The following is a 12,266-nucleotide window of genomic DNA, read 5'->3' as shown; positions in this document are numbered from 1 at the left end:
ATATCTGGGCTCTGCAGGAATAAATTCTGTGATCATCTAGACATGTCTGCACAGAATGGGGAGTAGCAGCATTTGAAACACATAGGTGTCTTTTCAGGATATGGTTTTACTATTACTGCTGTATCACCGTATGCCATTGGTGTCTTTCATAAATACCTTTTTAAAACATTAACACATGAAGACCTACAATGACTCTTGCACTTTGTGCAAATCTATTTCCTTGAGTCAGAGAGTTTTTCAGATCAACTAGATCAAGGAACTGAGCTGAACTGAGGCTTATGATCTTGAAGCCATCAATACAGAGCTCTGGCTGAATCAAACTAAACTTCAAGCTCCAAGAACTTCATATACTCATAAAATCTGTATTTCTTTTAATATGGAAACACCAGAGTGATTTTTAAATTTTCTTTAGCAACAGAACTCTTCGTTTAAATTAAATCTCACACAAAACCATACACAGACAAAAGTAGATTTGTTCTTATTAAAGAGAGAAATGCCAGAGGCCCACCTTGCCTTTGACCTTCACCTCAAGCATCTCATCAGGTCTCTGAGATCTGGAGGGCTGTTTGAACACTAAGAGGAAACCGCTTAGATTGCTTGGGGCCCTATGTAATTGTAGCACTATAATATTGCGATCAATTAACCAACTCTTTTACCCTGATATTCTCAATTATGTTGTGAGTCAACCCCATTCATGCATCCAAACAGGAGGCATCCATTGCCTGAAGGAGGATTCATCCCATGGAATTGCAGAGCCAAATGGTCACATGCTTAGCTTTTGTTTTCAAAGGCGAGGTACAGGTTGAGTTGGTCTGCCTGATGAATGCTGGGCTATACTACGGCAAAACTGAACCAGAAATATCAGTGGATTGGCACAAGAAAAGTTATTTGGGTTGGGCCTCCCCATTCTAGCTTTTAGCAACATCATCTGGAATACAGATCCCCTGAAGGTCAATAAAGAGAGGAAGAGAGAATGGAGAACTCACACTCACTGTTAAATTCCTCAGCCTGTATATCAGTCAGCTAGGGCTGCCATAATAAAATGCTGTAGACTGGGTGGCTCAAACAACAGAAATTTATTTCTCACAGCTCTGGAGGCTGGAAGTCCGAGATCAAGGTGTGAGAGATTTGGTTTCTCCGGAGGCTTCTCTCCGTGGCTTGCCGATGGCCACCTACTCTCTGCATGCTCACATGAAGTGTGCAGATCCCTACTGTTTCTTTCTTTTCTTATAAGGACACCAGTCAATTGGATTAGGGCCTCACCATTATAACCTTAATTACTTGTTTAAAGACTGTCTCCAAATACAATCCCATTGAAGTTAGGGCTTCAATGGGGTTGAGGGGATGGGGTGAGACAATTCAGTCCCTAACAGCCTGGAAATATGAAATACTATTCCCATTCAAATTGTATTGGCTAGAACAGGTCACATGGCTCCACCTAACTACAAGATGGGCTGGTAAGTTTCAACTTCACTTGTGCCAGGGAGGAAAGGAGAACCAGGTATGAGTGAGCACTAGCAATTTTTACCTCACAAGAATATGGTGAAAAGATTTAAGAATATATGTGATTGGGCACAGTTGTTCCCACTCCTAGAATGACAGCAATGAAAGAAAAGTGATGAGGGCAATTCACAAAGGGCCTTTATTTGGAGAGACCATGTGGACAGAAACACAGACAGCATCCAGAGATACACCCCCACGCCCCACCTCCTCTAAGCAGTCACCCCCAGCACCAGGGAGACAAACAGAACTGAGTCAGTGCTACAGATAGTCAGATACTCCAGACTCCATTAGTGTTCTACATGGCCAGAGCTGAGGAGTCACAATAGTCATCCTTCCCTCTGGCATCTGGGCAGGACCTTTGATCAACAGTAGCCAGCACACTGCCCAGTGACCATCCACAGGACTGATGCCCACGTGAGCCCCCAGACTTAGTCATTATCTGACGACTCCAGTGGACAATCCCCCTCCACACACATTCACTCATAACGTAAGGTTCTCAGAGATCCAGAGGCAGAGAGTAGGGATGGTGTAGGAGGGTGGTGGTACCTGGTTCATGGTACTCTGTTACAGCAACAGAAAACAGACGAAGACAGGTCAGTACTCTTTAAATCTTTCTAGGTGGAGGGAAAGAACCTTCATCAGCCATCCTCCTCTCCTGTGGGATTGGAAAAAACAGCTCAAGATTTCCCCTCAGGCCAGGGCAAAACTGAACTAACCTTCTACTTTGAGAGGCACCAAACTAACTCCTGTTAACTCAAGGAAAGCCATAGAGCCATCTACTGGTCACAAGTAAAAGGAGGAAGTCATCTAAAAACAACACAAAAAAGTAAAAATATTCAAATTCATCTTTAATAACTTCACAGAGAAATGTGATAGGAAGCATCCTCTCATTCCCTTCAATATAAATACATGAGAATATTTTCTTAAATATAAGAATATATAAGAGACACCTGAAGTCAGATATGCCTTTAGTAAATGTGTTTAGGGAATTAGCATTGTAATATACTAGGAGGTCATCTAGTCCATAGTTCTTAGGTGCTCTTCAATTCTCTCAATTCTACATGTTCAAAATCTGTAAAAATAAGACACGAAGACACGAATTCATTTTTTAAAACCTGAAACCTGCAAGTTTAATTAAGGAATTCGAGATCCTGCAGTTTGGCTGACAAATGATATAGTCAGCACCCAATTTTCTCCTATTAGGTGATCTGCAGTACACAATCAGAGCCGCTAGGCCAATTTTCCTGAATGGTCATAAAGGTTTTTAACAAAGAAAGAGCTCCAAAAACTTGGGAATGGGATGAGGGCAATAAAGACTTCATTCAACCAGGGGCCCACTTTAAAGGGCAATATTGGATTGAAAAATTGAGCTACATCAGTTAAAGCACCAAACGGCCTTGCTGCTTAAAGATAGCTGATGAGTCATGTTCAACTCAACCTCCCCCTAACCTCCAGAGGCCTAGAATGTGACTCTAATGTAGTTTCTGCTTCCAAGTACAAAACCCAGACAAGACGCCCCGGCAAAGTCTCGGAAGAAACACCTTAGGGTCATTTTCACAGCCTATGAGCATCATTCCAATGCCCAGCCCGAGATATCATGCAGGGTACGGCGAATGCTACATTTGAGCACAGAACGTCTGACCTTCCATTTAGGGTCAGAAATTGGCTAATCTGTTTCTCAGACTTGCTCCACAGAAACTAAACCGACAGATCACGTTTAACTAAAACGATGCCAGACGCCATCCGTTCTCCAAAGAAATCTTCGAGACACGCTGGCCACATGCATCAAGTACACAGCGCCACCTACAGCATTATTGGTGCAATTCACCATCGCCCTCTTCACCGGCCGCACTGGTATCGCAGATACAGCCTGAGAGAATTGCTACATCAGGCAGACAGTATCTGACCTAGACTTTAAACGTCACAGGTATTATGTTTATTTGGGGATGAAAAAAAAAAAAAGAAAAGAACGTGCGATAGCAGGGAGGAGGCTGCGTTGATTGGTTATATGCCTGTCTGCTTTCTTGCTTGTTTCAGGCTAACATCATTGAATTCTAACATGGCAATTCTTTTTTTCCAAGATCTGCTGCAGGGAAAATCATCATGGCACATGTTTACCTATGTAACAAACCTGTACAGCCTGTATATGTACCCTAGGAACTTAAAATATAAAATAAAAAATAAACTTCAAAAAAGATCTGCTGCAGGAATTCACCAGGGTGTCAAATCAATCAGAAATAACCATCAAGAGCAGTTGACATGAAAATATGATGTGAAACTGTCATTCAGTCATCTGCCATCTATGAAATTAGAAAATAAAACCCTAGCTCTAGAATCCTCAAACTTGCAGATGCTGCAGTGGCGTGAGATCATAGCCAAAGGTTCTAGAAAAAGTCACAATCTTTTCACTAACTTCTAAAAGTCCGCCATATTTCCCATCTCTCTCATCTTCACGGGTCCTTTTATTTATGTTTTAATTCAAACTGATCAAGCATCTACTATGTGCTACAGAGATAAGATAGAAAGAGGAATAGATATATATATTATATATAATTATAATATATATAATTTATTATATATATAAATTATAATGCTTCGCAGTATAACTTTATCACTTCAATATAACATGCTGTATATACAGACCCATGTTTTCTACTTGCTTTTTGTTGTTGTTCAGAGAAGGATCACTGGGTCTGGGGCAATCAGAGAAGACGTCATGAGGACTGGAAAACCTTATTTCTTGAAGTTCAAGCTCAAGTATCAACAAGGAAGAAAATGCCAAATAGAAGGAATGATATGAGCGAAGGAGGTGTGAAGGTAGGGAAGTTCTAGATGTGCCCTGTGTAAAATATCGCTTGTGCATCCACACACACAGGTAGAAAGAGAGATAGACACACCCTCAATCACGCACCATTCACTCTATCCCCTTACTCTGCTTTATTCTTTCTCACAACATTTACTATTACCTGATGCATATGTATTTGTGTGATTACTGTCTCTTTCCAGGACAAGCTCCATGACAGCAAGAACTTCATTTCATTCACTGCTCTGTCCTCAGTGCCTAGTTCAGTGCCTGACACATTGCAGCTTCTAGATAAGTATGGAAAGGAGGAAAGGAGGAAGGGAGGAAGGGAGGGATGGAGGGATGGAGGGAGGGAGGGAGGAAAGAAGGAAGGAAGGAAGGAAAAGGAAGGAAAGAAGGAAGGAGGGAAGGAAGGAAGGGAGGGAGGAAGGGAGGGAGGGAGGAAGGAAAAGGAAGGAAGGGAGGGAGGAAGGAAAAGGAAGGAAGGAAGGAAAAGGAAGGAAGGAGGGAAGGAAGGAAGGAAGGAAAAGGAAGGAAGGAGGGAAGGAAAAGGAAGGGAGGGAGGAAGAAAGGAAAAGGAAGGAAGGAAGGGAGGGAGGGAGGGAGGGGAGGGAGGGAGGGAGGGAGGAGAGAAAAAAGAAGGGAGGGAGGGAGGGAGGATGAGAGGATGAGGAGGTGCTCATAACATCCACGGAGAAACACATCAGAGAGTCTTGGGAAACTTGATGGCCAGGGCAAATGGGGACAGAGTGGGGAGCGTCTTGAATGCTGGATGAGAAGCTTGGGTTTTTTCCTGCTTCTTCAAAGATGCCAGCATGGTCAAAAAATAAGGACAGTAGCTATGCTTTTAGAAGATTAATCTGGTGCAAATATTGGATGAATTTTAGGGAAATGAGACTAGAGGTAAAATAGCAGTTACTTTAAAATAGATAATGATAGTGATGGGTTACAGCCATTCAATAAAATGGGAATCAATGAGACCTTAGCGTATAAATAATTAAATAAATAAGTACGAAGTATAAGGTGGGTTTGGAATATCTTGTTTCAGAAAGTAAAGAAGTATTCAAAGATTGATACAGACGTGTCAAAAGGACTTGGGAGCCAGCCTGAAGGGAGTTTCACTGGCCAAATTTGGAAAATTTGACCTTTGAAATAAATAATGATAGTGATGATTTACAATCCATTGGATAAAATGAGAATCTATGAGGCCTTAAAGATATAAATAAACAAGTGGGTGAGAAGGGAAAGCCCTTCCTTACAGTGAATGCCAACTAATAAAAGTAGATAGGATGACAGAAATGGGAGATTATAGATCTTATTCTATGATGTGGCAACCATGATAGAGGAAGATGTCAATAATTGCTAAGGATGGTGGGTAAAGGTTCAGTGAGGAACAGGATATTGGTACAATGCCAGAATATCTCCCTACAAAATACTCATTAATCACAATGGAAAAAACAGTGGCTTTTTGGAGGAGAAATATGACAGAAACCAACTTGACAAAGTGGTCAAGGTAACACCAAGGGAAGAATCTACATTCTGCATCAGGAAGAGCACAGCATAATTTTCTGGAAGTCTTCCAGGAGTGCACGGCTTGAGTCTGGCCATGAGGACACATCGGACAGACCCAGGTCAGCCTTCAAAATCAAAAGTCATGCTATGGTTTGAATGTGTCCCCAGAAGTTTATGTGTTGAAAATATAATTCCCAGTGGGATTATATCTAGACATAGGTTTTTAGGCGGTAACTAAACTTAAATGAGATCATAAGGATGAGGCCCTAATTCAGTAGGACTAGTGGCTCTGTAAGAAGAGCAAGAGAGACCTGAGATGGTATCCACTGGCCCTCTCACCATGTAAATGCCTTCCACCTCCATCAAAAGGGGGCCCTAGACCTCAGACTTCCCAAGACAATGAACCCAAGACATTTCACTATGATTTGTCAAGAGCGAAGATTAAAGAAAAAAGCAGGGGCCAGGCATGGTGGCTCACGCCTGTAATCTCAGCACTTTGGGAAGCCGAGGCAGGTGGATCACTTGAGGTCAGGAGTTCAAGACCAGCCTGACCAACATGGAGAAACCCCGTCTCTACTAAAAATACAAAATTAGCCGGGCGTAGTGGCGCATGCCTGTAATCCCAGCTACTCAGGAGGCTAAGGCAGGAGAATCGCTTGAACCCGGGAGGCAGAGGTTGCGGTGAGCTGAGATCACACCATTGCACTCCAGCCTGGGCAACAAGAGCAAAACTCTTTCTCAAAAAAAAAAGAAAAAAAGAAAAAGAAAAGCAAAGAAAAGAAAAAAGGCCAGGAAGTTAGTAACATTTGTAGATAATCAGTGTTTATCAATGGCTTCACATTGATTTACAGCCCACCTCCCTCAAACTAAAACTTGAGGACTTCTCATGCAAAGCACTGCTTTCATGGAGATAGCATAGGGCATTTAGACCAAAACTTGGATTCTAGCTTTAGCGCCAATGCTTGCCATGTGGCATTACTGTAGTTGCCCCCCAAGCCTCAGTTTCCTTACTTGTAAAATGGATATGACAGTAGCAACTTCAGAGATAAAATATGCATAAACCAATCCCATCTATTTTATAACTAGTGAGTGTCATTGTTCAGAAATCAAACATTTTAGCACTGAAATATGCAGCTGGCTGTAATCGTGGAATGACATTGCTCTGCCTGGTTTTACTGGCTTGAATTTCTGACAGTGCTTCCAGCTGCCTAGTTTTCCATTCGTCCAGTCCTATTGTTTACATGGAATGACACCCAAGATTTCCTGAAGCTTATGGCTTTATTTGCACTTCTGGCTTTGCTGACTCCCCGTCGAGTGCTGTCAGCAAAGTGAGCAAGAGCAGCCCTGGGCTCATCAGCCACCAGCACTCTTGCCTTATTAGGAATGGTGGCCCTGCACAACAGGACCCATGGCGGCCAAGAACACACAACCTTGCTTGCAAGGGAACACCAGACAGATGTAACATGAGGAACGTCCTATTAAAACAACAGGGGGAAGGGAAGTGTCCCTCAATAATGTCAAGGTTATAAAAGACAAAGAAAGGCTGTGGAAATGTTCCAGATGAAGGAAAGCTGAAGAAACAGGACAACTAAATGCAGCCTGACCCTACAGGGGATTCTGTGCTGGAGGGAAAAATGCTGGAAAAAAACATCATTAGACCAACTGATAAAATTGGCATATGAACAGTAGATTAGATAACATATTGTATCAGTGTAAATGTGTGAGGCTGACAACTGTGCTGTGGTTATATAAGAGATCATCCTTTGTGTAGTATTTAGTACTCCTGGTATTATAATTTAGTATTTGGTATAATGTAGTATTGAGGATTAAAGGCCATGATGTCACTCACCTTTAATTCCAAAAAAAAATGGGAATGCATATATAATATACGATAGTATAAATAAATAAATATTTATATATGGATATACATCTGTATCTATATATAAATATGTATGTATATATATTCCACAAATTTAGAGAGATAGGAAGAAAGATAAAGAACATGAACAATAGGGCCGGGTGCAGTAGCTCACGCCTGTAATCCCAGCACTTCGGGAGGCTGAGGTGGGCAGATCACGAGGTCAACAGATCGAGACCATCCAGACCGACATGGTGAAACCTCATCTCTACTAAAAATACAAAAAATTAGCCGGGCGTGGTGGCAGGCGCCTGTAATCCCAGCTACTAGGGAGGCTGAGGCAGGAGAATCGCTTGAACCTGGGAGGCGGAGGTTGCAGTGAGCCGAGATCGCGCCATTGCACTCCAGCCTGGGCAAAAACAGCGAAACTCCATCTCAAAGAAAAAAATAGAACGTGAACAATAAAGCAAATGGGAGTAAAACATTCCAATGCGTGAATCTGAGTAAAAGGTATATAAATGCTCCTTGCACTATTTTATGTTTGCAATTTTTGTAAGTTTGAAGTTATTTCCAAATAAAAAGTGGAGAGAAAAAAGAAAGCAAGAAATGGTCATCCTGCTGCCTGCTGCCTGCTGCTGGGTTCTCAAGGAGCCAATGGACAGGAAGAATTAGGCATTTTTGGGCCTCATCAGTGACTTCCTCTGTGCCTCAACCTCTGTTAACAGTAACAATCACTTGCATAAAAATAGCTAATCCTTTTATAGTGCTCTTGTGCAATTGAGGCACTGTTTTATATACCTTATGTATATTAACTCATTTAATAGTGGTTCACACACGGTGATCCTAGCTGATATGTTGATCCCAGTTCTAATGAGAAAAGAGTATAAATGAGTAAGCCAGTAACTGTGATCCTCACCTCAGCCTGTGACGAAGGGAGGTCACCTTGGGCAAGTGATGGCACCAGGACTCACAACCAGCTCTTCCTCCTCCATGTTTCATCCTCTTTCCCCCCCCCGGTGGTTCTCGACCCTAGGAGAGTACCTGTCATCCCTTAAGAGGCTTTAAAAATACAGATTCCTGCTCTGAGACATCTAGTGTCCCACTGCACACATGCTACCAGGCCTGAACTCCTGCTTCCTCTGGCCTCCTGTTCTCTATGGAAATACCTGCATTCAGAGTCCCTGGATGTCTCTGGGGGCTCTATCTAAGGGACATCTACCACAAGCTGATTCCAGCTGAGGGGACAAAGGCCCACTGGCCATTGCATCCTCCTTTAGGCTGCCAGGCCATGTGGTGCGTGGTGGGTCCAGAGAACCCTGTGCTGGGTGCTAGTATCACACTTTCTCCACTGTGAAATGGGCTCTCATCTGAAAAGCTGTTACATGGAACCCCATGTCAGTAATCAGGTACTCTGTGAACCCTTGGATGATACCAGCAAAGACATAGGAAGGGCAAACTGATGGTATCTGATGGAATCAACTCCAAAAAAGAATCAATCACTGTCCCCTGCAGGGTGAGAAAGGCCTGATGGAATCAACTTGCCAGCAAATGTCTAGCTAGACTCTCCAAGAAGTAGGACCATACCAAGGGGTCATCTTCGTTCTCTGCCATCAACAGGTCGGGTATTCAGCAGTGGCAGTAACTGGATCAGCTTTGGTCAGAGGGGGCCCTTGCTGTTGGCCCTCTACAGAGCCTCTATCCCTACTACCGTAACTCTTCCAGCCATGGGCCCGTGGAGTGAGCATCAGAGGTGTTTGAGCCAGAGCAACTCCATCTTGAATAGGGGCTGGGTAAAATAAGGCTGAGACCTACTGGGCTGCATTCCCAGGAGGTTAGGCATTCTAAGTCACAGGATGAGATAGGAGGTCCACACAAGGTACAGGTCATTAAGACCTTGCTGATACAACAGGTTGCAGTAGAGAAGCTGGTCAAAACCCACTAAAAACAAGATGGCAACAAAAGTGACCTCACTGCTCATTATTCACTAATTATAATGCATTAGCATGCTAAAAGACACTCCCACCAGTGCCATGACAGTTTACAGATGCCATGGCAACGTCAGGAAGTTAACCCATATGGTCTAAAAAGAGGAGGAACCCTCAGTTCTGGGAATTGCCCACCTCTTTCTTGGAAAACTCATGAATAACCTGCCCCTAGTTTAGCATATAATCAAGAAATAACCATAAAAATAGCCAACCAGCAGCCCTCAGGCTGCTCCACCTATGGAGTAGCCATTCTTTATTCCTTTACTTTCCTAATAAACTTGCTTTCACTTTATGGATTAGCCTCGAATTATTTCTTGTGTGAGATCCAAGAACCCTGTCTTGGGATCTAGATCAGGACCCCTTTCTGGTAACATGAGCACTGGAGTGACCAAGGGCAGAGGCTGGCAGGCGTCTACCAGACGAGTCGTCTTGTCCACCCGGTTGTTGAGCGACTCCTCTGCTGTGCTCACCCTCAGCCGGGTATTGATGGCCAGCAGGGAGATCTGAGTGCTCTCTGCCCACTCCTGTAGGTTCATCCACACCTCACCCTGACTCTTGCTCTCAGATCTTCCACTCCTGCTCTTTCCAGACTTGCAACCAAATCAGTCACCACTCCCCAGGAGTCCATGTAAGCGACCTCGGGCCCCTTCTCCCTCCATACAAGATGGACAAACAAGGGTACTGCTCACAGCTCTGCTCATTAGGAAGACTCCCTCTCCACTGTCCTTTAAAGCCACTCTGGAGTGGGCAGCAGTCCATTTTCCACTCCTACCAGCAGACCCAAGCTTTTCTGCAAGCATCACAGGGAACCCCCTCTGGCCCCATGCAGCCATGATGTGAGCTGGGGAAGGCATCAGTGCAGCAGAGGCAGATGCCCCAGGGATGGGGGCCAACTGTTCATGTAACACAGTTGCCAGGCTTCAGCCCAAACACCTCTAGACAGAATCTCCAGGTGAAAGTCTAGAAAGCCCTATTTTGAAAAAGCTGATTGGGATGTGCCACCAGGTTTGGTTACCAGAATCGTGCAGTTACCCAGCATCAAGGCCCAGTAAGGATACACAGAAAGGCTTCAGTGCATAACGTAGACAGAGTGTGTGCCCTGGCAGAAAGAATCAATGGATACAAAATGCCTCAATGAAGATTTGAAAACTATCACTTTTAAATCAATTGACAATTCAAAACTAGATTGTTTACTTACAGATGGGGCAGTCAGAAACAGCCTGTACTACTCCTCTATAAAAAAATAAGTAGAATTTTGGCCAGGCACAGTGGCTCACACCTGCAATCTCAGCACTTTGGAAAGCCAAGGCAGGGCGGATAACTTGAGGCCAGGAGTTCAAGATCAGCCTGGTCAACAAAGTGAAACCCCGTCTCTACTAAAAATAAAAATAAAAAAATTAGGCCCGGCGCGGTGGCTCACGCCTGTAATCTCAACGCTTTGGGAGGCCAAGGTGGCGGGGGGGGGGTGCGAATCACAAGGTCAGGAGATCGAGACCAGCCTGGCCAATATGGTGAAACCCCATCTCTACTAAAAATACAAAAAAAAGTTACCCGGGCATGGTGGCACGCACCTGTAGTCCCAGGCAGAAGAATCGCTTGAACCTGGGAGGCAGAGGTTGTAGTGAGCCCGGATCACACCACTGTACTCCAGCCTGCGCAACAGAGCGAGATTCTGTCTAAAAAAAACAAAAAGAAAGGAAAAGAAAAAATTAGCCCTGCGTGGTGGTGTGCACCTGTATGTAATCCCAGCTACTCAGGAGGCTGAGGCAGGAGAATCGCTTGAACCTGGGAGACTCAAGTTGCAGTGAGCTGAGATCACACCCCTGCACTCCAGCCTGGGCAACAGGCAAGACTCTGTCTCAAAAAAAAAAAAAAAAAAGAGGTAGAATTTAGTTAAACATGCAGAGAGACTACAGAAATTAACACCAGTGACAGGAAAAGCATGAGCAAATACACAGAGGTGAATGAGGCTTCAATCCTAAGTGTAACCAGGGAAAGGCAGAACCCAGGAGTAACCTGGAGGAAGCTCCAGGGAAGCTTGCAAATGCATGTGCTCATACACACCCCATGTGGCTTCCCAGTCACAACTCACCACAGCTGCTCATAGTTTTACAGTTTCATGCCATGTGTATTGATGACCAACGTCTAGATTTTACAAGATTCCCACATTCAAAAATTTTGCTTCCCGTTAGACAAGATGCAGCATAATTTTCAGTTCCAGAAATGTTCTCTTCCTACCTACAGCCCATATTCCCAAGGCTGCCCATCCCCTGAAATAGATAAATAAACAGAAAACAAGGAGGAAGAGAGAGACAAAAAACAAGTAAGGAAAGGGAGAGAGAAACTGAGAGGAGACAAACAGACTGAGAGGAGAGAGAGACACTGGGGAGGAGGAAGACAGAGAAACAAGATGTTTATGTGGGGTTTTTACATTTGTGGAAGGTGCCCCTGAGGAAAAGCGGGAACCACAGGACAACATAGAATAGAAAGGGGAAGAGCGCCCTCTTGTGGCTCTGACCTGACCTTGTCTCTTCCTAGCCACGTGACCTGGGCAAGTTACTGCTCCTTAAGCTTCAGTCCCCCGTAAAACACGGGTAAAATGCGC

The 12,266-nt window shown here is 44.0% G+C and overlaps 1 long non-coding RNA gene and 1 other non-coding gene across 2 annotated transcripts in view, besides 1 other annotated feature; both read right to left on the bottom strand.

The window, feature by feature from the left end:
- The window catches only part of LOC105370802 (uncharacterized), a 225,875-nt gene that overhangs the window by 213,067 nt on the left and 542 nt on the right, over positions 1-12,266 (bottom strand). The gene's annotated exons all lie outside the window — the stretch shown is intronic.
- Positions 2,798-3,092: an enhancer, noted in NCBI's record as "tiled region #13517; K562 Activating DNase matched - State 13:Ctcf". NCBI's record gives its function as "activates a minimal TATA promoter and a strong SV40 promoter by Sharpr-MPRA in K562 cells {active_cell/tissue: K562}" and the evidence as "EXISTENCE:reporter gene assay evidence [ECO:0000049][PMID:27701403]".
- On the bottom strand, positions 7,130-7,188 carry LOC124900365 (small nucleolar RNA SNORD71). Its single transcript, XR_007064816.1, has one exon. It is a non-coding gene; the product is annotated as a small nucleolar RNA SNORD71 (small nucleolar RNA).

Source organism: Homo sapiens, chromosome 15 (genome assembly GCF_000001405.40).
Source record: "Homo sapiens chromosome 15, GRCh38.p14 Primary Assembly".
Classification (NCBI taxonomy): domain Eukaryota; kingdom Metazoa; phylum Chordata; class Mammalia; order Primates; family Hominidae; genus Homo; species Homo sapiens.
Note: the sequence above shows the minus strand (reverse complement) of the source record. Positions and strands in the feature narration are given on the sequence as shown.